The sequence below is a fragment of the Homo sapiens genome, chromosome 1 (genome assembly GCF_000001405.40).
Source record: "Homo sapiens chromosome 1, GRCh38.p14 Primary Assembly".
Classification (NCBI taxonomy): Eukaryota; Metazoa; Chordata; class Mammalia; order Primates; family Hominidae; genus Homo; species Homo sapiens.
In genome coordinates, this window is record NC_000001.11 from 175,727,226 (window position 1) to 175,751,062 (window position 23,837).

Below are 23,837 nucleotides of genomic sequence, written 5' to 3' on the forward strand. Positions count from 1 at the left end.
AAGATCTTTGTTTAAAACCCCAAATTTCTCCATAGTAATTATCATGGACCCCAGTTTTCCCAATAGTAAGTACGAATAATTGTCCAATAATGCTGAGAGGCCAAGTACCAAGTTAACATAGAAAAAGGACCAGGAGATTTGGTGAGATTAAGTTCACTGGAGACCTTGACAAGAGCAGTCTCTTTGGAGTAGTGAGGATGGAAGCCTGCTTGGGAGAAGAGAGACTGGAAGTGAGAATTGGAAACAGTGATGTTTTCAGTAAGTTTTGCTGTAGATGGGAGCTGAGAAATAGGGTGGAAACTGGAAGGAGAGTAGAGTCAAGAGAGGCTTTCACTTTCTCAAGGTAGGAGATATCAGAACACATTTCTATGCTTACAGAAAAATAAAGCAGTAAGGGAGAAATTGAGGATTCAAGTGGTGATAATTGCAGGAACAGAGGCTTAGGAAGCCTGAGATGGTGTGGTCCAGGGCACTTGGGGAGGGTTGGCCTTGGCAAGAAGCAGGGCCATGGCACCCATGAATAAAAAGGGAAGGCCAAGAGGATGGGCACAGGGACAACAAGAGGTATGGGGTAGTGGCAGGAAAATGAGGGACTGCCTGTCTATAAAATACAAGGCAAGGTCATCATCTGAGAGGAGATTAAAAAGTGAGGGCAACTGTCTCTTGAGAAAGGAGAAATAAAATTGTGGAGGCAGGAAAGGTAACTTACTAGGAAAATATAGTGAGTTTGCCAGACTATTTCTAGTATTCATTTGGGAATTACGGTCATTATTGTTAAGTGACAACAGTCAGCACAACTATCTATTTTTCTCTGGCAATGTATAGTTGTTCAGACATAAGTGTGGATAGACCAGAAATTGGGTTTAACCAGGTTGGGGTTTTGCCAGATGAGTACAAGAAAAGAAGTCCAGAGAGGTTTCTGCAGGAGATCAGTGGTAACAGTGGATGGTGGACTCTAAGCCTCGTAAGGTGAGGCCAGGGTGAGGCTATGGATGGCTAAAAAGAGGCAAGGTCAGAGGCTGCAATTATGTAATTGCTGGAGTTGGAATACTAGAGCCAGAAGGAAAAGACAAGCTGTCAGGAGGCCTGAAGTCAAGACTTTGGAGAAGGTACAATTAATGACACTGTCAAGGTCAAGGATATGGTCAGGGAGTGGGTGAGCCCTCTGATGCCAACATTAAAATTTGAGGGTCCTAACGCCTGCTCTTCTGATCCTGTGTACCATCTGTCCTTACATGTGACGAGAGAGATGGTTTCCTAGCAGGCATGATTTAAGGAACTCTGCTGAAGCCTCATCACCCAAATTCTCGCTGCAGAGGCCTATAACTTGTTTCTAACATTCTGCCATTAAAGCTTCCTTTGGTTCTTGCCTTCTGCTTTCCATAAGTGCTACCACCTAACCTATTAATTCATTATCAATCATTTATACATAGGTGTGATTTAGTGGCTCAGGGCCTTTCAAGTAGGACAGCAACTGGCTGCAATCAGATTTTAATAGGCTATAGGGCATGGCCTTTGAGGAAGCAACTGAATATGGGATCCTATACAGGGTAAAGGAGGTAGGGAAATCAATATTTGTTGAGCATCTACTATGTGTTATGCTCTTTCCAGGAGCTTTGCATAAGTGATATTGGAGATTCCATTGTTTCCTCCTACTTAAGGAACAGAAGAGGTAAGAGAGAAATGCTTGTTATTTACCCAAGCTCCCGAGCTAATGAGTGATGAAGCCGGGGTCTGAAGTCAGAACTGCAGAGCCTGGGAGAGGTGTTTGGATCAGAGGGAGAGGCATTCAAAAGGAGAACTGCAAGGGCCTGAGACACATCTTGGTGAAACTCACAACCCTAGTGTTCCAGTTCCTTTCCTGAGGCCCTCATATCCTATGTGTGGCTATTTTTTATTCTCCTTAGCAGGTTGTTCCTTGACGAGTTTTTTCCTTCCTTCCATTTTTTTTAAACAATAATTTAAATTTTTATTAGGTGCTCAGCCACAGTATAAATGCCCCCATTTGAATTGCTGACACGCAAATCAATAGGGAAGCATTTTCCTGGAGTGGAGCCCCTGGCATGGGAGCCTCCCAGCCTCATCCTCTTTCCAGAAGAGAAGGGATTTAATAAGCAGAATGGACAATTTTCTTAAATAAGCCACAGTTAGAGCAAACAGAATGAGCATTCAAGTTTCTGGTGTAAGGCCTCTCTCTCTCTCTCTCTCTCTGTCCCCCTTTCAAGACAGGGTCTTGCTCTGTCTCCACGCCAGAGTGCAGTGGTGAGATCATAACTCACTGCAACGTCGAACTTCTGGCCTCTAACGATCCCCTACCTCAACCTCCCAAAACACTGGGATTACAGGCATAAGCCACCATGCCTAGTCTCTTCCTTCCTCCCTCCCTCCCTTCCTTTTCTTTCATTCATTTATTTCTGTATCTCTCATTCTCACTAAACAATCTTGCCTTTAATCTCTATATTACCAATTTGAGTGGTGTCATTTTTATGAAACTATCTAGAATGAATGAATCAGCATGGGTGGCTGGGAACTGGCCTTAGGTTGTTAAAACAAGAAGAGCACAGCATCCCCTGGAATTCTACTGAAGATGGGGAATCTGGCAGCTATGTGGGTCCCATCTGCTCACCCCAAGTCCCTCCATCACTCTCGGACTTGGAGATCTTGCATAAAAAGTGTGACTAATATAAAAGAGCATCTCAATCGTCAATAAAATTTAGTTAAGCTGCTCCTGTAATTCTCTGATGAAAGAGGCAACAAGCTTGCATCCTACAACATAGCTTAAGATCTCATGCCTAAGGTACTCTGAGCAGCTGGTAATTCTCCCCATGAGTATCCTGAAAGGAAGACCAAATTCCAGTCTCCTTTTTCAGTATCATCTCTCACCATTCTCACTACCGCCTGCATGAAGGCCCAATGCTTCTCTGTTCCAGCCACATCACGTTTCTCGGTTACCTTCCAATATGCCTTTTCTAGGACCCCGAGCCTTTGCATATGCTGTTCTTTCTACCGGGAGTGCCCCTTCTGGGTTGGCAAAGCCCTACGCACACTTAACCTGCAACCCACCTGCCATCTCCTTTGTGGAACTTAATAAGATACCCTGAGCAGAATGAGTCACCCTTCCCTTGACTCCACTCCTACCTGACACAGCTGGTTCCTAGACATTAGCACAATGCTAGGAAGTTATCTTTGTGACTCCCCCTCTACTCCAACCAGATTGGGAGATCCTCAAAGACAGGGAACCATCTGTCACTCAACTTCACATCCAGTCTTTAATGAAATGACTGGCAGAGAGTAGATCTTTAATAACAGCTTGTTGAAATAGAGAACACTGGATGAAAACCCATTTGTTCATTCACTCAACCAATATTTACTGAATGCCAACAGAATTCCAGGCTGGGAATGTAAGTGTGAATAAGACAGAGAATGTCTTTATTCTCACCAGGTTTATATTCTATTGGGAGGGAACGGACAATAAGGAAGAAATAACATACATATATACTATGTTGGCTGGTGATAAATGTGATAAACAAAAATAAAGTGGGAGAGTGGTGACAAGGAGAGCTATTTTAGATAAGAGTACTATGGTGGGCTTCTCTGTGGAGCTAACATTTGAGGCTACTGACCTGCTGCACACACAGGCTTTGTCTTCTGTGGTTAGTGGAGGAATGAGGTAGAAGCTGCTTCCTTTGCAGTGGACATGCTGGGTGACTCAGGTTCCCAAGATGTCTGTCCGGGGGCAGAAAGCCAAGGCTATTTGACTTAAAGGAAGCTTGGCCTCTATAGCATTCAGCACTAAGCTACTAAGGAAGCTACCTCAGAACATATTGTAGTAATAAGAGGACCTGAGAGGCCTGGTGCCAAAGTCTCTAAATGACACCCCAGGCCCTGCCCAGTATCCACAGAGATACTGCAGAGCCCATGAAGCTGGTTCTGTCTTCTGGCCATTGGAACAGTGGGTCTTCTTGACCTTCGTGATTTCAATCACCAGCCCAATTACAGGACAACAAAAGGAACCATAAATGGTTCAACTGAAAAGTGCGAGTTAGTATGGTTGCGATCTCAATTCTGTCACTGTTGCCCTGTGCTATCTTGGGCAAGTCACTGAAACTCTATAGTAATTCTACCATCTATAAATTGGCAGTAATCAATAGCAATTATTTTGCTTACCTTCACCAATGGTTGTGCAGATCAAATATAGTATATAACTATGAAAAGTATAAAGCACAAACAAAATGCAGGAAATTATTCTTTCTACTGGGGGAATAAACATTTTCAGAGTACCTATTAAGTGCCCGGAGTCCTATATATGTTGCCTTATTCAATTTTCACAAAATTATGGACAGTAATTATTATTCCCATGTTAAAGACTAGAAAATGAAGGCTCAGAGAGGCTCAATGATTTCATTAAGGAGGCACGGCGGGCAGAGCCAAGATTCTGGTTCAAGTTCACTGTTCCCAGATCTCACGCTTACCCTGCATCCTGCTGCCTGTGGGTAGTTGTTCCAAGACTGGCATGGGTTCTCAGCTCTGAATCACCTTACCCAGAGCTGTGATGTGCCTCCCCACCAACTGTTTCCGCTCAGCATCTGATGCAAAAGCTAAACCCTAGCTTCTAACCCAGCCTGCACTGGGGTTCTCAGGCCTGCCCAGACCCCAGTGCATCTCCTCTGGTAGGAATCTGCCTCTTGGCATGGTTTGCTGCTGTGTCTGGCATGTTGTGGGTGGCTATAAAGTGCTGAACATTCCACCTGCTTCTTCTGCTGACACCCTGCTGTCATCTCCATCTCTGACTCCAGAGCAGGAATGTGCCTGGGCTGCCCCTGCATTGCCCCATATCCCCACCAGCACTCCCTGCCTCCCCTTGAATCTTCTGGAGGCTCTGGCTACCATTAGGGTTCAATTTATGGCCTCACAGCTCAACAAGAAACCTCCACAGGAATAAATTGGGCTTGGCTGTATCTGCCTTCCATATTCCTGCCCAGCTGGACCATCATTTCAGAATCCATTTTAGAAATTTCATTTTTTGTGATGGCAGATCAGAGTTAAAAGAAGTGGCCCACAAGTGGATGAGTAGTTACAGCTTTGGCCCAGATAATCCCCAAAGTGAATAAGCCACAAAGTGAATGAGGCTTTTGTGGATAGATGAGAATTGACACTACCTTGTGAGACTGGATGAAGGAAAACCCATTTAAGAAAACTCACTTGCTTTGGACCTGGATTCTTTTCTCATCTTGAGAGAGTTAGATGGGGCTTTGTTTAAAAACCAGAATGACTCCCCAAGGAAGGGGGTAGGACTGGCAGAACCAAGCTCCAGAGAGAAATAGTGACTGCTCTGGTCTTACTTTGAACCTGACCTTTGTGGTTCAAACCAAGCTTATAAGGACTGTCATTCTCCAGCTCCTTGTGTCATTCTCTGGCAGTGGGGAACCTGGAAGGTTTCTGAGTGATGCTCAGAGACAGCATAGTCATTAGGTACACAGAATCCCTGGGTTCAAATTCTGGCTCTGCCATTTGTCACGTGTCTTCAGGCAGGTTTTGTAAACTTTGTGTCTTGGTTTCCTCACCTGTGAAAAGGGGTTAATAACAGCACCTCATTCCAAAAGGGATTGTTGAGATCAGTTAGTTTCTATACATGAAGTACTTAGATCATTGCCTGAAAATAGTTTTTGTCATGTAGATGTTAGCGATTATTTTGCTACTGAAAATAGAGGTGGAGCTATTTTGGGACCCAGTTGGTGATTTCTAAATCCAGGAGATCCTAAACATCCCCAAATCAGATCTCAGGTAACCATTTGCCACAGTGCCTCCTTCATCACTGGCAGGCCTTGGTCAGGCCAGTTGCTGAGCCTGGCTCTGGAGTGAGATGCAAAACGTTAGAAGTAAAAATGCTATTTTCCCTCTCGCAGGCTTTTGCCACTGGCAAATAATCTCTTTAGCAATATTTGACCTTAAGAACTTAAAATGAAAAGGTCAAAACATTTCAAGGAGTGGGAACCGGGTCCCTTCCCAGATTTCCCACTGTCACAGAGTTAGTGAATGTCAGTTGTGGTTGCCAGAGGCCCACAGGACCCCCCTCCCATAAGAAATAGCGAAAGCAGTGGAACAGGGTGAGTGCAGAGAGAGAGACAGGTCTCTGCACTTCTCACTGTCTCCTGGGCCTTCAGCCACAAAGAAGGATGCTGCTTGGGAGGGCTCTGTTGGGTCAGAGTGAAGACACGGCCGGAGAAGTCACCCCAGGCCCTCTTGGGGGCTTTCATCCCTTTCCCTCCCAGTCTCCAAGAATGGCTGCCTGAGTTTCTCATTCTCACTAAATTAAGCTGACAAAACACAAACGAAAAAAAGGGGTAGGGGTAGAGGGGAGGGCATGGCACACTCTTGCTTTGCATTTTAATAACTCAGGCACAGTGCCTCAGACCATTTTTAATGAGAGATTGACTGATAGTGGTCTCCTCCCCACACCCTACTCGGAACAGATCAGGGTCTGGATCAACAGCATGCTTTCCTCCCCTCCAGAACATCTCACCTGGCCCCGCTCCTGGTTGGAGGGTGGCCCACAATGAAACTTAAGCCCTTGGCATGATTTGCTGGCCTCTCGAGGGTCCAGTCTGGAAGGGCATCCCTAGTCACCCAAGACACACTTCCCAGGGAAACCATGCCCTGGTGAGCTACACTCCTGCTTCTTGCCTTGTGAGGGAGTCAGTTATGAGGACATAGCCAGGCCCACCAAGGGCAACTTCATGGAGATAAGAGCTATCTTATTTGGTCAGCCAACCTTCCCTTGAGCTCAGAGGCCTTGCAGCCAGGGATTGCTGGTGACAGTATGAGAAGGGAACAGGGCTCAAGGCCACTGCCTGTCTCAAGAATGCAATGTCTTGTTCCTGCAGCCAGCCTCAGGCCAAATAGGGCCTCCCCACTCCATGGGGAGAATGTATGTCAACATATATTGACATAGATGAGGGCAACCTTGTGCCCCTGATCTCCAGCCTCAAAATACACCCTTCCTGCCTGAAATTCCCAAAAAATGAGTTCTCTATTAATTGCAGAATCTGTATGTGCTAAGGGCTGTTGTAAGTCTTTTTGTAGAAAATGACATCTCATTTAAAAGACATGGCTATTCTGAGAGGTAGGAGCTATTTACCCCATTTGATGGGTGAGGAAACTGAGGATCAGAGAAGTCAATGGATTTCCCCACGTCTCCACAGCTAGTAAGTGGCAGAGCCAAGATTCAAACTCTTGTTGGGCAGAGTTTCATCGACTGTTTCTGCCTGGCCAGCATGGGCAGCAGGGGATGCAAGGTCAGCGGAGACACTTAGAGGGTGGAGCTGGTCAGGTGGGCTTTGCAGTCACATCCCATCTGGAGCTCTGAGGAGCAGGAACCTGGCAGCTTCCAAGGTAGATGAAAAGCTGACCTGCCTCAAATTGTTTTATTTAAAGCCAGGCTTCTGACTGTTTGAAGCCGCTTGGTTTTGGCAGTGCTTTTCCCTTTTTCTCTTTTTTCTTCCTGTTTTTAAACAGCCCTCGCAGAAAAGGGGAGTGCATCATTGCTGGGCGCCTCACTTGCAGATGCTCAAAAGACCTCTGTCCCTCCCACCCCATGGCTGGCTCCAGAGCAAGGCAGCTGGGCTGCGTGTGAGCGAGTGGGCACACGTGCTCACAGACAGCTCTCATTTGCAGAAAGACAGGAAGCCCTGTATTGATCTGCACCTGAAGTGTAGATACAGATGAAGTATTTTGCTTTTATAGTGAGTTTCACCAGCATTAAACTTCATTTATATCTCTATAAATATATACGGCTTTGAATGGGAGGCTTTACAGCTTGCCTTATAAGTTCCATCTCTCTGTGGCACAGACTGGGTCACCGTGAGGAGACAGTCCCTTTATAGGTGGCTCTGGCCTCTGCCCTTTTCAACACAGCCATTTGCAGGGCTTTCATCTGGTGTTCAGGGCCCTGTCTGTCTGCCCAGCTGGACATCTCTCCTCCCAGCACCTGGATAGACATGGGCTCTCCAGCCCTGGCGCTGCCCTCTCCTCTGTCTGCCTGTGCCCTGTCACCCCTGGCTCACAGCTGGCCAGTTGGGAGGAGGGAAAGAGGGCACCGTGACTGTCAGCTGATCTGCTCTCCACACCTGTCCCTGGGCCCAGCCACCACAGCTGACCTTGGTATTGACAAATTCACAGGGGACATCATGAGGTACTTACACAGGACAAGCTGGCAAAATCTGGCTTATTAGGGTATATGTTTTACAGAAATCCATTTAGATAAACAGGCTATCCACACAAACGCCAGCACTCAGTGGCCACAAGCCTTACAATACTTCACGAAGCAGGCAGCAGCTTCTGTCCCGATGCACTTGTGGAGATAAATTCAAAGTAATCTATATAAACTCAAGCCTTTGAAATTGCACAATGTCAAAAAATTCAAACAATTACTCTAGCCCAGCCAGGAGGTGGTTGTTAGATGTTCTTCTTATGGAAAACAAAATTATAAAGGAAGGGAAAATGTTTCATAAATAAAATTCAGAATGGTAGAAGAACCTGGAGGGAGGGGAAGGTAGAAAAAAGGAAACCCAAGTGTTCATGGTCTCTGGCTGACTGCAGAATAGGGCTCGGAAACCCTCCTTAAGGCTCAAATTAATTTCAGTCTAGTACAATTTCAAGGTAATTAATTGGGAAGAGGCATCTTTCAGGTATTTAAAAATATCAGATTGGCTCTTGGTACTAAAAGAGTAGGAGAAAAAATAGCCAACACATGCTTCTAAAATCAAGGTGATGTAAAACAAGGGCCAACCCAACCCATTAGCACTTGAGGAGCATATAAAATTCGGGTCAACCCAATAATTGCTAGCTTGTTGAAACACCAAGTACCCCAAGCTGCACCCAGTCCCCAGGCCATATTAAATAGCAAGTGGCACAATCTGGGCTAGAGGACATGTTCCATGACAGACACTGTCCCAGGGACTTTGTACTCATGCCTCATTTAATTCTCACAAAAAAAACTTAAGGAAGATGTGGTGGGCCGGGCGTGGTGGCTCACGCCTGTAATCCCAGCACTTTGGGAGGCCAAGGCGGGTGGATCACGAGGTCAGGATATCGAGACCATCCTGGCTAACATGGTGAAACCTCATCTCTACTAAAAATACAAAAAATTAGTGGGGCGTGGTGGCCGGTGCCTGTAGTCCCAGCTACTTGGGAGGCTGAGGCAAGAGAATGGCGTGAACCCGGGAGGCAGAGTTTGCAGTGAGCCGAGATTGCGCCACTGCACTCCAGCCTGGACGACAGAACAAGACTCTATCTCAAAAAAAAAAAGATGTGATGATCTCTATAGGCTTTTCGGGGGTGAGGGAGGGTGAGGGAAAGAGGGGATGTGTAGGAATTTGAAGTCCAGTTTCCTGTTAATAACTCCCCAGGTCTTGCTTCTTGATGCCTTTGCCCCATGGGTTCTGTGTACATGTGGCCCAGAGCAGGGATGACTAAGATACAAGCAGCAGAGAGAGTGGAAGAACTTAGTCTCTGTCCAGGTGCTTCTGCTTATAATCCCAATACTTTGGGAGGCCAAGGTGGGAGGATCACTTAAAGCCAGGAATTCAAGACCAGCCTGGGCAATATATCAAGACCTCCATCTCTACAAAAAAAAAAGATCAAAAAATTAGCTGGGCATGTAGGTACATGCCTGTAGTCCCAGATCCTCAGGGGGCTGAGGTGGAGGGATGGCTTGAGTCCAGGAGGTAGAGTCTATGGTGAGCCATGATCACACCACTGCACTCCAGCCTGAGTAACAGAGTGAGATCCCATCTCAAAAACAAAGCAAAGCAAAAAGAAAAACAAAAATAACAACAACAACAACACAAAGTAGGCTCTGTTCCAAACAGATTTGGTTGAAAACCAGCCCTGCCACCTACTAGCTGTGTGGCCTTGGGCAAGCACGTTAGCCTCTCTGAACCCCTCAAGAGCTTGGTTTTATAAAATGTGAGCGCTTTATAAAAACTTTCTGATTTTCTGTTGGTTCTGTTCAACCCAGAAGAAAGTCATTTAGCATCACTATGCCTCAGTTTTTTCACCTGTAAAACGGGGACAATAGTATATATCAAAATGTTTTACTCACTAAATGATGTAAAGTATTCAAAATGTTCATTAATAGTCATGACAGAAAACATTTATTAAGGGCATTCTCTGTGCCAAACACTTGGCCAAAGTTTATAGTAAGCACTCAGTAAGTGTTGACTAGCTTTATCATTAAGCCATAGAAAGACCCAAGCTTCCAGGGCCCAGGAATGTGAATTTTTAGGTGGACTAGGGTCAAAGACCAAATTCCAGCCCAGAGATGTTGCCAAGCTTTTGTCAGATGTTAGCCACCCTGGGTTGATAATGTCCTAGGACCAATGTTCCAGACTTCCCCCTTTGTCTTTCCTCATACCATGCAGTTTGAGGAGGACACATCCAGATTTAAATAACCACAACTTCCTCCTGGGTCCTGGTAATAAACCTTTATTGAGTCATTTACAGCCACAGCATGAGATGTTATTATAGAAGCCAAGTTGGGGTGCCCTTGGCAGTGCCCTGCTCTAGGATAGGGGTCCCGAGGAGACCAGGCTGGAACCCTTCAATAAACTAATGGGTCTGTTGGCTCATTTGTCCCTGACCCCAGAACTCCTTCCCCCATTATGAAGTTTCACCTTGTAATACATAACCCAGAGACGTGCTCCCCAAGGGTGAGGGCTGCACCTCTTCCTGCCTGCTAGTACCTCTCTGGCATAAGATTGGGGCACTTTGTTTAGCATCCATGCTCACTTAAACTTTGGCTGTTGTACAGATTAGCAATGAGAGTCTGAATATAGAAGATAAATCTGATTCATTCATGTGCACCAGCCCCAAGTATCCTCCTCCGTTTGCCTCCAAGAAGCCACCTGCTTGAACGTCATAGGGAAAGTGTACAATTTTAACTCATGGGAGTGTCATGACAAGAAAGTTTCCTTTTCTTACTTGATTGGAGAGTAAAGCAGAGGCAATTGGCAAGAATTAAAGGAGGGGAATAGGAAACAATGCAAGCGTCCATTAATGGATGGATGAATAAACAAAATGTGGTACATACATACAGTGGAATATTATTCAGCCATAAAAAGGAAGGAAGTTCTGACACATGCTATAGCATGGTTGAACCTTGAGGACATTATGCTAAATAAAATGAACTGGCTACGAAAGGACAAATATTGTATGATTTCACTTACATGTAGTACCTAGGATAGTCAGGTTCATAGAGACAGGAAGAAGTTGCCAAGGGCTGGGGGAGGAGGAAATGGAGAATTAGCGTTTACTGTGTACAGAGTTTCAATTTGGAAAAATGAGAAAGTTCGGAAAATGGATGATGGTGATGATGGTTGCATACAATGTAAATGTACTTAGTGCCATTGAACTATATTTTTAAAAAGGAGGGAAAGAGAAAAAAACAAGGTTGCTTGAATTCCCTTTGCCAATTGGCATATTATCAGCTTGCTGTGTTCAAAATTTACCAATACAGTCGTAATTCAAAGTCACGTTTCCAAGGCTAAGTATAGTGGTTCTTATATATGATGGGAAATAGCTTTTGAACAATCCCATTCCAATTCCACCTTCCCCACTGGACTGTCTCTTAAGGAGATGAAACTCTAGTTAGGTAGGAAATCTCATCTTTATTAGCATAGCACATCATCAAAATGAGGCAAAAGTGTATCTCTGCGCTTCTGCCGAATCATCTACTGGAATTGGCTTGTGGGCATCGTTCAACTTTGTATTTCTGTATTAGGGAGTCCTCACTTTGGCTGTCTTCTAACTTTCCATGACATGGTGGTTTAGCAACCAACACTTTACTCTGTGGGATCCCAGCTGGCAGAAGTGACTCAGGAGCCTTCCCCTAAAAGAGCTGGCTGGGTGCACTGAGTGCATTCTCAAAGGCAGGTGACCCCAGAAAGAGGCAAAACCCTGGAAGAAGGTGTTATAATAAGGTCTCCAAATGGAAGGAGGCAGAGGACATCAGCAACCTCTGAACATGTAAATAGGTCTGTGACCTACCTGGACACATTTTAAGCTCTACTAAAGATTCTAATTTACTGATTAATCTGCCAGAAACTCTGATTTCCTTGTGGAAGACCCTATGTACAAACGGTGCACGAGATTCCCCATCTTTATCCAGTGGCCCTTAAATGAGGGACAGAGTAGAAGAGAATTGGACAGGCAAGGTGTCCAAACTGGTTATATATATTTGTACGTGTGTGCTGATACCACACATGCACACACATGCACACACACACACACGCACGCACACACACACACATTCACCAAAGTTACCAAACCTTCTGATAACTCCGTTACTTCTTAATGGTAAAATGCAAGAGTACTACCTCACCCAGCCCACAACCCAGGGACGGAAGCAGGGTGAATGGAGACATCCCTGCATAGAGCTATGTTGGTACATGGGTCTCTGTAAGTGGCTTCTGGTTCTAAATTTACTCTTAAATAAAGAGAAACGGCACCCTCCTCAGCCATGACCTTTGTGGATAGGACTCAATTTCATGGTATAAGCTCTATCACAATGAACTCTCCTCTTTCTTTCTTTACTAAGCTCACATAGGTACTCTTTCCTCAGCTCACTCTCCTGGAGCCCAGATGGGGAGACATGACCAACCACCAACTTGGAATACTGAATTCTAAGTTTTTAATAAAAATTTCAAAATCATCTCTATGAACTCCATCAAATAACTCAGGTCAGCTCTGAGGCAGTTGCCTGCAGGAGCTTCCACAGTTTCTGTTCACATTTGATTGTTGGTTTCTATAAATGCGGTTGAAATGACCACTTGACTTTCTAACACCATGACCTCAAGGCTGGGGAGCAGAATGTACCCCTCCCACATCTTTGCTACTTACCCAGTAACAATAGCCTCAGAACTCTGAGGTGTTCCCTTGAAAGTCTAGGGTTTACATACCACATCTATTAAGTAATACATTCAGCAATACATTTCTGCTGCAAAATGTAGCAGCATAAGCTATGGTGATACCACATATGCACAAACACAAGTCAGAAAGTGATGGTGTTGGGAGAGGGAGAAATTGGAAAGAAGCACAGGGAACTTTTATACATCTTTTTTGGGGTATACAAGTGTACACAATTGTCAAAACTTAATCTGAATACTTAAGATCAGTGCATTTTATTATATACAAATTATATGTCATTTTTTTCAACAAAAAAAAAGTAATAATGGCGCTTTCCAGGTAAAAGATGGCAACCTATGGCCATGGAGAATAGGGCAGAACAGCTGACCTCCTCCTTCCATCTTTCCCCACCACTGCTCATCTCCCCAGTCCTGGGTGGCAGCCCAGCAGTCTCCCCTACACAGTGAAGGGGGGTTGGGCATGAGAACTTAGTGGCTTTGTCTCCAGATTGCTGGCCAGATATGATGGCCAGGAATGCTGCAGAAGTGGCATTATATGTAAAGTGAGTTTGTATCCAGTTTCCCACTCCTCTTCTAGTGGTTCTATAGGTGGTCAGAGCCCAGCCCTCTCCTGCTCCTTAGTCATCCTTGCCACATTCAGAGCCACAGAGGACTCAATGAAGGTGGTCCCAGAAAAACGTTCTTAGAGAGAACAGTCACCAAACACCCAAAGCCAAGACATCCATGGCAACATGCCCCAGATAGGGTGGCTTCAGCTGGGATTTCTGGGGCATGGTGATGTGACAATCAGGTGCACGACATCAGTTCAGCCTAGATGCCACCAGCCCAGGGTTCTCTCTTTGCAGTAAGCCCAGAGAGCTCTTTACCTGGCTCTTGGCCATCTTCTTAGCTGAGAAGTAAAGGCCAGCAGCACCTTGAGACTTCTGGCTGATTCTCATTCTTCACCAGAGAGAGGCCATTGCTCCACACTGAGTTCCCTAAAAGGCTTTGGCTGCAAGTCTATCCAATGGGGAGCAATCCATTCCTTCTCTCCTGCACATGAGCATTACTGCATTTCCTAGGTGAGGGAATATTAGCAGGCTAGAAGTTCTATTTCTGCTTTCGCTATCCTCTGGCTTCCCACTTTAAGCGTCTGTGTCTCTCCATTTATAAAATGGGTCCAATAATGTCACTGAGCACTTTTTTTTCAGAGAAAATTTAAGGGCATTAATGAGATAATGACTACTAAGTATGGTGACTTCAGTAATAAACTGTGGTTTTGGACAGGGTCCACTGCAAGGGCATAATTTTTTAAAAATCCTCAGTGATGTGTCATGCAGAAATCTATCCACTCACTTGTTCAAACTGGAAGATTTCAAGGACAGGAGGTTTGGAATGTTAAAATACTGAATGAGTCAGTGTTGGTTTCTGATGCTCTGCATTTGTCTATTTCAGTCTTTCTTCCCTACCCTTACAACCTCTGACTTCACTGTCTTCCTGGATGCATTCTACTTCCTGCCACTCTAGGGAGATGCTAAGATTTCTGGATCCAATGCCAAGCATAGTAAAAAAGAAAAGTGGTGCCATTTCACTCAGAACTGTGTCTCTCACCCAGAAGGCTCCCCAGCCAGAGGCAGAGAGTATTTTCTTCATCTTGGAGAAGGGGCCCATTGTGCTGAATTAAAAATAAGACAAAGAATCACCATTCTAGGGTCCATTTGGGGTTGGAAAGAGTGAAACCACCCCACCTTGCCTATGTATCTCCCCTGTCTCAACACACTTGAAGAAAGTGACCAGAACCATAAACAGTTAGGGGTTAAATCAAGGGAAGACTTGCTCCTACAAGAAGCCACATCTCTTTCAAGTTCCCTGTAGGATGCTGGCTCCACGGAGACTTGAATGATTGAAGGAAATCCTCAACACCACTTGTTGAATGACTCAACCAGGTAGGTGTGGCCAGGACTGAATGGGGCAGGGGCAGGCCTATAGTGTCTCCAAGACAATACCAAAGCAGATGCAGGGAATTGACTGAACATACTTCAGAGAGGCAGAAAGCAGGAGAGACAGAGTAATACCTTGCAAAAAGTAGCAGCAGTGAAGAAAGAAGTAATAATGAGCTCCTGTTTGCAGAGCCTCTCAGTGCTGGAGGAGAACAGAGTACCACTTCAAGCCCTCCTGAGTCTGGGACAAGTCTAATTTTGTTTCTGCTCACCCTAGACATATAGAGACAAACCTTTATTCTTAGTTGTTTTTCACTGCCAAATGCCCCAGAAAACAGGGCAGAACAGACTTTGTCTTCTTTCCAACCACCCATAGCCAAAGATGGCATAAAAGTGGAGGGTACCTCCTGCCTCCTTGCAAATGTAATATAACCCACACCAGCCAGTCTCTGCAAAGCTCAAGACACTAGCACTTTCCTACCACCATGAAGTCAGAAGGGACCTCAACCCCCCAAAGCCGCCCCAGCCTGAGCTTCACCTGTTGCACCTGCCCACTTACCATGGGTTCACACCAGAAGAGAAAGTAAAAGGTCAGGTTGGGCTCTCTCCACAGCAAGAGCCCAGAGAATACTAGGAAACTGACATTTTACAAAGCACCTCTTTAAAGCTCTCTCAGAGGTGCGTAACTTTTAACTCTACCTCCACTCCCAACCCCCCAGGCTTCCTTTGCAACTCTTTCCCACCATGGATGGCTTGTCGGGAGAGAGTTAAAGAAGGTGCACGACTAATTCCCCAAACCATCTCGCTTATCTACAGACAAAAAGAACAGCCTTACATGGAGACACGCAGAAACCACCCGCAATTTAGCTCAGACCTCACCTGTCTTATGCAACAGTACACACACACACACACACACACACACACACACCCGCAAGGCCAGAGTCCAATCCCCCTTTAATTCGGTAAACATAGTTTTGCGCCTTTCTTTTCCCTACGCAGAACCCGACTCTACTGGCAGCAGAGAAATAGATGTAACCCTAGTGCCAAATGCCTTGCAGAACACACAGATACACAGGAACCAAAATGCATCTCATAGCTCTCCTTGGTGCTGAAATCACGTTAGCCAGAAAATCAAAGGAGCGAGTGCTCTGGACTTACCCAGGCTGGGGGTGGGCGGCCGGGGAGCGAGAGGAGCTTCCTGGGAAGAAAATTCTTGCTTGCTCAGGCTGGAGCCAGCTGATGCGCTCACCTAGAGAGCCCTCCTCTTTCCCTTCTCTTCCCTTCCTCCTATTCTGGGAGGAAGAGACAAGGCTCCACGAAAGAAATGAAACCCAAGCTGTCAGGGCTACGGGTGGAAGGAGAATGAGGAGGCAACCAAAATAAGATCAAAAAGTCAGGTGGCTTCACTCCACTAGTGGTAATTCCTTGGGTCAGAGAGGACCCCCTTCTCTCACTCTCCCTGGGTCTGCCCGTCTCCTCTGGGTGTTGAGCCAACAGCCTTAGCACAGTCGGTTCCTGCCTCTGACGTGAAAGAGAGGAGGAAGCCTGGGACTGCTTTGCTGTCTCTCTCTCTCTCTCTCTCTCTCTCTCTCTCTCTCTCTCTCTCTCACGCGCTCTCTCTTTTCCCCTCTTGCTGAAATTTCAGCAGCATGATTTTTTTAAGCCTCCGTTTTTTCCATCCCCCTACAAGCAGCCCCCTAGTGGACAGAAAAGAAAAGCATCCTAAATCCTCTTGAACAGTCCAGATTCAGGCACAGAAATACTCCCCGCACCCAACTCTTGGAGCTGCCTCTGCATAGGCAGGGTCCTGAAGAAGATAGAGGCTTCCCTCTGACCAACCCAGATAAGAAGAGAAAGGGAGAGGATGGAAGCTTTTGCAGATCCTTTGCCCATGATTGAAGGAGAAATCCAGGGTGGAATGGGTTGGGATAGAATGTTTTGGAATAAGGTCAGTTGTGGGGTTCTCAAGTGGTTTGAGGTCCGGGCTCAGCAGAAGGAACCCTCCAAAAAGTCAGCGTCTGCAGCCAGGTGAAGTATGTGTATACGTAGCACAACCCAGGCATGGGAATGCCTAAAGAGGCAGAGGATACAGGGAGCTGGCCCTTCATCCAACTCCACAATATAGCTTTTTTGTAAAGCTAGTAAGAAAAATATCTGAAAAGATATGGCCTGAGATCATCTCAGAAGTAGAGACAGAAGTGACCTTGATGCACATTTATGGAGAACCTTGGCAGAGAAGGGGCATCAAGGGGTCACTGCTCATAGGCTCATAAGGGATATCTAACATTCTCTTTTAAATGTACAGCCACACAGCCTCCCGGAAAGAGTCCTAATACTTACATCTAAAAATCTGAGTCCTGGTTTCAGACTGCCACTTGCTTACTGGACATTTTGCTTCTCTATGGCTCAATTTTACTGTTTGTAAAATGTGGATAATGCTGCCCCCTCCCTACTGAATAGGAATGCTAAGGGACTGGAATGATATAGAAACATAGAACCTCAGGATTGGCAGGGAATTTAAAGGTAATCTTATACAAACACTCTTCTTATATTTGATTCACTCCTGGCAAATAACAATAGCTAACATTTATAGAGTGTTTATACCAGGTGCTAGGCACTGTTATAAGCCCTTACATGTATTAGCTCATTTAAGCCATACAATAACTCTATAATGCAGAGGCTATTATTGCTACTCTATAGACTGGGAACTGAGTAACAGAGGAATGAAATAACTTTCCAAAGATCACACAACTAGTGAGTGTCAGGGATGGTAATGGAACCTGAGCCATCTGACCCTGGAGCTTCCTCATTGAATTACCATGTTCTATAAATGTACACTTCAGGAGTGACATTTGAAGTAAATAGAAGATAGCACCACAGTTATCATTGCTTTTATTTATGACAAAGTGCCTAGATTGTTACAATAAATTTATATGTGGCTGAGTTTTTAAAATAAAATATTTACCACTAGGGGTGCCAAACAAACTGTGGAAATTGCTATTACCGATGAGAATCTCCTAAGAAAATTAATTCTCTTGGTGATTTGGGTAGTTTCACATATACAAAACTGGCTTTAAATCTTATAAAATTGGAAACTATTGGGTTTTAACATCAGTTCAGAAGACACATCACTCAATTTCTGTACCAAAAGCAAATTATTGCCCACTGCCTAACACAGTGCAAGAACGGAGCCAGCAATTTGAAGAGCTGAAACGTTGTAATGCATTCAGGTAATAAACGCTCAGTGAGAAATTGACATTTTCTTCAGAATCTCAGAATTATGAATTCCTTAGCTGAGGTGGCTTACTTTTTCTGGCTTTTTTTTTTTTTTTGGGTGAAAAGTGGATGAAGTAGGACAAAGATGGTAGGTGACAATTAACAAATCATGGTCCCTGTCCTCAACAGAGTTACCAGTTCCTCAAAGGGGGAAAGAAAGAGCAAGACACAAATGATTACAATTCAAGGACTAAGTGCCAAGAATTTGGGCAGTGAGCACATGGAAAACACAACTAACTTGATCTTTGAGGGCTAGGGGAATTCCTAAGGTATGCAGCATCTAAGCTGAGGCCTGAATAATCAGAAGTCTTCCCAGCAAAAAGTGGGTGAGAGAATTAAGCTGAAGGCATAGCATGTGCAAACTCATGGAGGAGGGAAAGGGGAAAGAGCATAGTAGGAAACTTTCAAAGAAAGTATTACCCTTCCACTGACAAATGGGGAATCTGAGGCTCATAAAAGTTAAGTGGCTTGCTCAAGTTCACACATCTAATAAGTATAGAACCCAAATCAAATGCACATCTATTTGACTCTAAAGTCATCCCCTTTGTGAAGCATGATGATATCTTCTCTCATCACTTAGAAGTGCCCACACCATTTAATAGAGTGTTTCAATAACATAGAAGCTAACATAACCGAGTGAGGGTGTAGCATCTACCAGGAAGCTGGAAGTATGATCTGTTACTATTAGATGAGAAACCCATAAAAAAGGCACTAGTCAGTTCAAAAAAAGGGGAAATTTAGGGTGCTAGTATTTTTTTTCTGGTGGATGTACAATTATTAAATGTATTGGGAAGTAGGAATATTTCAGAAGTACGGAGACATCAGAGACTTGGATTTGAAATGAAGATGAATGTAGAAACGGCTAAAAGAAGGTTTCAGATTAAGTGCTCTGGGAGCCCAGAGGAAGGAAAGGTCCTTCTGCCTAGGAGGGGTTATGGGAGACTTCACCTGGGAAGTGGCCATTCATCTGGACCGTAAAGAATGTAGGTTCAGGAGACTGCTCCATTGCACCTAGACATTTTATAAATAGAAACATGAGATCCGAGTTTTCTTAATGAATAGTGAGACACTGATTAGAGGGAGAGTAGAAAGAAGATCATTGTAGACAGAAAGATGTGAAGCTTTGGAATATGGATGGGTTTGGGAAGAGTAGAAGAGAAGTGAGATTGATGGATGAATTTGATTTTGGATATGTCAGGCTTTGGGAGAGTGAGCTTATATACTATAATAGAGCTGTCCTGGCAGTGGCTGGAGTTCTGGAGCTCAGATGAGAGATCTGGATTGGTGATTTAGATCTGGAGCCCATTTACATGGACATAATAGTTGCTGGATGGAGACCACCAACAGGAGAGAAAACAAAGAAGACTGAGGGCAGAATCTCAACCCTATTTCCTTGACCTCTGGATCAAGTTTTATATTTCTTCTTTAGTCCTTGTAGCTGAAGTGCTTGATACCCAGAAAATAGCCTGAAAATACTTACTGATTGGCTCATAACAATAACCAAATATGTAGTTGAAGATGATATTGGGACTGAGATCAGTTACTTGTTCTTTGGATCAGTTACTGGTTTCTTGGCTTCTGATCTACTTCTAATGACAAGACCCCTCAATCACCATTCCTCTTTGGAAGCTGGTAATCATTGGCCCCTGGATCTTTTGTTTGTTTGTTTGTTTGTTTGTTTGTTTGAGATGGAGTCTCACTCATTCTGTCACCCAGGCTGCAGTGCAGTGGCGCGATCTCGGCTCACTGCAACCTTTGCCTCCCAGGTTCAAGATATTATTTTCTTGCCTCAGCCTCCCAAGTAGCTGAAATTACAGGCATGCACCACCACTCCCAGCTAATTTTGATATTTTTAATAGAGATGGGGTTTCACCATTATGGCCAGGCCAGACTTGAACTCCTGACCACAGGTGATCCACCTGCCTCAGCCTCCCAAAATGCTGGGATTACAGGCATGAGCCACCTGTCCAGCCAGCCCCCGAATTTTTGTTTTCTACCTAGCACTCCAGCCCCCAAGCTCTCCTCCACCAAACCGAGCATCTCCTTAGGCACCCAGCTATCTCCAGGGAATCAGGAGCCACTATGTGGTGAAATACCATGGTGGAATTTCACAAGGAAAATCCATACCATGACCAGCATTCCAGAAAGCTCTTGGATCAACCCTTCCAGTACTTGAGGTCTGGACATAGGGACTCAGGAAGTGCAACTGTGGCTTTTTGACAGAAAAGGGAAGGGAACCTAGGATCCAGCTTTGAGATATGGCAAGTACAGAATAGCCAAGGGAGCCCTCAATTCCTAGACTAACCTAGGCCCCCATCTTGCCACTGTTTCCATGAGCATAGAAAGACAGAAAGTTTGGTGTAAACACCAGATAAGACCTGTGATGACCTCAGAGCTCTGGCCAAGAAGAAGGGGAAAGAGGAGCAGTGGACACTATCTAGATGATTAATCAACACCCCCAAAGCCTGTCCTATCCAGGTAATGTTTTGGGAGTAAGTCTTCCTATTTCCCACTCATCCTTCCTACACAATTTCTGACTTGCAAGCCTGTGTTCACCTGGCTGTAGCTATGTAGGATTATAAATTATTGCCCTTTCATCCTATGAGGATACAAACTTCTTGGGGGCCAGAACAAGGTTTTCATTTAGGAAGCATCTAGCACTGTGGGTCTCGGTCCATTCCCACTCCCAGACTGAACCTGGGAGAGGGAGGGTGTTGGAAAAAAGAGATGGAGAGAGGGAAGGAGAGATAGAGCTGGGGGAGGGGGGAAGAGAGACAGAGAGAAAGACAGAGGGAGAGAGAAAGAAAGAGAGAGACAGATGGGCTTCCAACTAAGTCTGCTAGGTTAAGAGAGAAAATGGAATGGATAGACTAAAGGTTCTTCCAGGTGGAGACACTATCTGGGGGGTAATTTTCTCTTTTCTCTTTCTTACCCCAAATATTTTCCCCATAGCGAAGGTGAGAAGGCTGAGTACCCCATGCAGTCTTTACACATGACTCTACCCACCACTGGGAAAAAGAGCCCTGCTATGAGCTGCCAACTGTGTGCCTCCACATCTCCTTACAAGAGCATTCACCACCACATTCTGTAGGCAGTTGGCTCAGGAGTGTTAGGCACAGAGACCCAGGAAATAAATGGCTTCCCTAAAGCAATGAAGCAGTTCAGCCCTACCAGAGAACCCCAGCACTGGGGGAGGGAGTTCAAGAGTGGACAGTGTCCCAGAGTTTCCCATGGAGCCCTGCACGCATTCCCATGCACGGCACCTGACCATGTGTGGACTAGGGGAGCCTCTGCAATGGCTGGGAACTAACGCTTTCCCAGCACCTACCATACAGACAATCAGGAGTCAAATGTTCACACCATCCTAGGGAAGCTGCCCGGGGAACTCCCAGACTTTTAAAATAGGGGTCTAGGCACAATGTGATACTCACAAGGCCCACAAAGAGAGTGAAGAGCAGAGAGCAGGCGTTGCCGACAGTAGTCAGACTTGCCTAATGGGCACTTCCTAAAAGTAGCCTAACTCAGGAAGGACAGCCACTTGTTAGGACATTGTGGGGGCATTCAAGCATTAGCTGGGTGGTTTCAGTAGATGACTTGTTTACTCCCTTCCAAGTGAGATAATGTGGGGTTGTGCTGGACTAATGGCTAAGAGGTTTACTTAGAAAGGACTATTGCAAGACTTGGGGCTTCTTTTCTGGGAAGTGGAGGAGGGACTTCTTAAAAATGGCAGTGAATAAGCTGCTAAGTACTGGGTTAATTGTTTTAAAAGACAAAAATAAAAAGATGACCATGAGGATAGTGTAATTAAAATGCCTACCCTCACAAGGAGCTAGAGAAGGCCCTGTATCCCTAAAGCCAGGGCTGAGCTGGGTTCTGTCCCAGCCTGACTCAGCAGGACTTGGTGACCTCACTGCACCATAGGGATGATGTCTGGGAAAAGTTCTGGAGAGCCAGCTGCCTGCCACAGAGACAGGAAGGTTGGAGTTACAGGCAGGCACTGGCTGGAGGAGGGAGCATGAGAAAGTGGCCACAACAAGCAATGAGGAGCAAAAGGAACCTGGGTGGTGGGGGGACTTGCCTGAGCTGGAAAAAAAGGTGGATGGTTGTACAGCTCCAAGCTCTGCCAGTCCAGGAAGAGCCAGGATCTTCCTGCTACGTTAGTGGAATAGGTGGGAAGGGACCCTACCCCTGCCCCAAATCTCTCTCCTACTCTGGTCCCACAAGATAGTAAACACCTTTATGGTAAACTGTGACAGCTAGCACTTTGCCTGCTGAATATCTCTCCCCAACCCATTTTTCTAGAATCGGAACCTGCCCATCCCCCACCCCAGGCAATAACCCGGATATTTGACCTAGGCCTGGCCAACAGAAGTTCCCCATTTCTCTAGACACAGTGATGGGTTCAGTGCACATGTCCCAGGCAGGTCCAATCAGAATCTTTCTCAGAAATTAGGAAAGAGAAGCTCTCTTTCTAATGGGCTTCCCAAGTAGGGACCATGTAAGCCCAGAGTTCACCACAGTCATCTTTCCTAGCTTTATGGCAGAATCCTATCCACAGTAACAAATAATGACATCAATACCCAGCAGGAAATAGAACAAATACAGAAAGAAATGGAGTCCAGACAATGTTGTTTGAGCTCCTAGATCCACCTATCCCTGAACTCCTAGGTAGGAGAGCCAATGAGTGCTCCTCTGACTTAAGCTAATTTGTGTTAGGCTTTTGTCAAGCTGGCTTACCTTTTAAGTCTTTGAAAGTCCCTGGAAAAATTCAAATTCCCATTAGGTATATGCCTTGACCCAGGTGAGAAACACCTAAATGGGAACCCAAGAACCAATAGTTGCCTGGGTCCTGGGAGCAGAAGCAAGAGTGGAGAATGAGTTGGGCATTCAGAGAGGAAAAATAAACACTTCCTTCTCCATCATTCTGCTGGGGACAGGTACTGAGGCCCATGTGCTTTTCCTGGGGAGTGTGAAGAGAAGGTCCAGTGGAATTGTAAGGCAGCCATTGCTACATCTGAATAGAAGACAGGGAGTCGTGGGGTGGGCCTACGCAAGAGTACACACTTGTTATGAAGCTTGTGTGCTTACTGTGCTTTCCAGCTGGAAAGGCACCGTACCCAGGGCCAGTTACTGCTGGCATCACGAGGCTCTGCTCCCTGCTTTGTGGAGTGCCTGCCTGGGTGAGGATGGCAGTCCCAGGCACCGTGTCCATCCGTGATAGACCTGTTTTCCTCCACCCCCGGCTCCCAGCATGGAACATCTCCTTTGAATACTTCTCAATCCTTTTGGCTCCTCTATGGGCACAGCTGGCTCAGAGGGCTCTGAGCAGCATCTTTCTATTCTGGGAAACTACAGCCACGCGCCCGTGTGAGCAAGTTTGCACCATCACGCTCTGAGACCAGAGTCCTGCCCTTTCTCCTCCTCTGTGCCTCAAGCTTCTGCATGTAGTGTGCCTGGCCCACTGAACCCTGCCTGGGGAGGGTGGGGTGCTGAGTGATGGAATGCTAGCCAGGGAGGGATACGACTGAGCCCCAGCTCCCCAGCCTGCCTGCCAGCCAGCAGAATAGTTATCTACATCCAAGAGTGAGCCAGGCTTCCCACACTAAATTAGCAAGAGCAAAGCAGATGTCTCCCTTCAGTGCAGCAAAGGATTATATGGGATAGAGTCAGCTTATTTCCCCTTATGTTACAGATAAGGGCAAGTGTGGGGATCAGAGTA

General features: G+C 45.6%; 1 protein-coding gene across 2 annotated transcripts in view; it reads right to left on the minus strand.

The window, feature by feature from the left end:
• Positions 1-16,370, minus strand: part of TNR (tenascin R) — a 428,402-nt gene extending 412,032 nt beyond the window's left edge. For both annotated transcript variants that reach the window (NM_001328635.2, NM_003285.3), the window contains exon 1: positions 16,001-16,370. The gene's annotated coding sequence lies outside the window, so the exon portion shown is untranslated. The remainder of the gene's footprint in view (positions 1-16,000) is intronic.